Consider the following 1,920-nt stretch of genomic DNA (forward strand, 5'->3'; position numbering starts at 1 on the left):
GATGTTACCATCTTTTCTGGAAAATTGCTAGTGAATGGCTGCATCTATTACACAGTGGTATGCAATGATATGAATATCTCAGGTAAATAGACCCCCAGCCCTCCTCACTATTGTGAAATCTGGTAAAGGCTACTGTTTGGGCTTCTGTGTCTGTGCTGACCAACAGGAAGAATTAGGGGCCTAAACATCAGGCACTTGAAGTTTGCATATAATTGAGCTTCCGGACCTCTAAAAATCTTACATTTTATTCACAAACACAGGCATCTGCTACTAATTAAAGTATCAGGGTATAATTATACCCTTTCTTATTAGTAGATATGGAATCTGACAGTTGCTTAGATACAAAATAAGCAAGTGCAGATTGCGTTCTGCATGCTCTTCACAGGCTAGGGAGACAGAACAACAGAATTTTCAAATGCTCTGTGTAAATGAGTCTTGTTGCCCAGAAAATGTGAAGTTCTGAATTATCATTGGTAAATTTGCCTAGGAACAGATGTTAATCCCATCACAACTCTGTGATTTGAGCTTTAATATCATTCAATTCTTTCCCTTGCCCGGTCCCCTCACCCCTGCACTGCACCCTAACCACAAAACAAAAAGCACGAGTCTTTCCAAGATACACACAGTTAAGGCCTATCATCTAACAGCATTGCAGGGAGAAAGCAGTTGTGGCTTCCTCAGGAAATTCTAGAGCCTGAAGAAACTGTCTAGAATGGCAGGGCTGTGTTGTGGCTGGCTTAGCCATTGGGTTTGTCCAAGGTCCACTTTGGGCTCAGTGGTGTGGATTCTGTGTCCAGGGAGCCTTGTGGTCATTTTAAGATATCCTCTCCCCAGTGCCCAGCTATGTCTTCACATCATATAATCAGAGAAGTTCCCTGCTAACCCATCCGCTCCAGGAACTTGGGGACCAGGCCTTTTTTTGGTCACCTGGTATATCACCAGTGTCTAGTTTGTTGCTTGGCCCTTAGAAGGTGCTTAGTAACTACTTACTGAAAGAATGGATTCTGTTGAGCCCTTACATGCATATAACCCTGGGAAAGGTGACACTTTCAACCTCAGTAGTCATTTACTCCTCAGATTGTGTGAATTGATTAGATCAGGAGTTGGCAGGCTATAGCCCCAAGGCCAAATTCTGCCTGCCAGCCTGAATCTGTGTGACCTGTGAGCTAAGAATAATTTTTACATTTCTAAATGGTTGGAAAAAAAAGCAAAAGATTTCATGATACACCAAAATTATATGGAATTCAGATTTTTGTATCCATAAATAAAGTTTTATCAGAACACATCTATGGCCACTTATTTACGTTTTGTCTATGGCTAATTTTGCATTATAGTGGCAGAATTCAGTAGTTGGCAACAGAGACCATGTGGCCTGTGAGGCCTCCAATTGTTACTATTTGGCATTTAACAGAAAAACGTTTGATAGTCCCTGGATTAATTCGATCATTCCTCAGGGTTAGCTTTTGATGTTGGAGGAATGGGATGGAGGAGGGAGAGGATACAGGGGTGAATCACAGGGCAGGCTAGCTAGGAGGCGAGAACAGCCAGCAGTCTGGATGAGCACTTCAGCCCTCATCACACTTGTGCCAGCCCTGGCCCTTCCACTGTGGAAGTTTCCAGTTTCTCATTGTCATTCTGATGAATGCCCTCAAGGAACGCAGCCATGATCATTTCTCAGACTGCTGCACTGTTTGGATGCAAAGGACTGTATCTTTTTGTTGTTTCTTGATTGTTGTAAATTCTTAGTTCAGAATGCTCTTTCTTTGTCAAAGACATAAAATTTTGCTTCTCAGACAGTGTTTGGGTAATAAATCTGTATGTGTGAATGAGCGTGAGCTGGAGCTTGTCTTTGGAAAGCAAATGTCTTTAGTCTTTAGCCACCCAGCAGGCACCCCGAACAGCTGCCTCACATCTTAGCTT

At 42.7% G+C, this 1,920-nt stretch overlaps 1 annotated feature.

Moving 5' to 3' along the window:
* Nucleotides 740–1,241: an enhancer, noted in NCBI's record as "NANOG hESC enhancer chr3:33960144-33960645 (GRCh37/hg19 assembly coordinates)". NCBI's record gives its function as "activates a minimal SCP1, AML or CMV promoter by ChIP-STARR-seq in primed H9 embryonic stem cells {active_cell/tissue: H9 hESC(primed)}" and the evidence as "EXISTENCE:reporter gene assay evidence [ECO:0000049][PMID:30033119]".

Source organism: Homo sapiens, chromosome 3 (genome assembly GCF_000001405.40).
Source record: "Homo sapiens chromosome 3, GRCh38.p14 Primary Assembly".
Classification (NCBI taxonomy): Eukaryota; Metazoa; Chordata; class Mammalia; order Primates; family Hominidae; genus Homo; species Homo sapiens.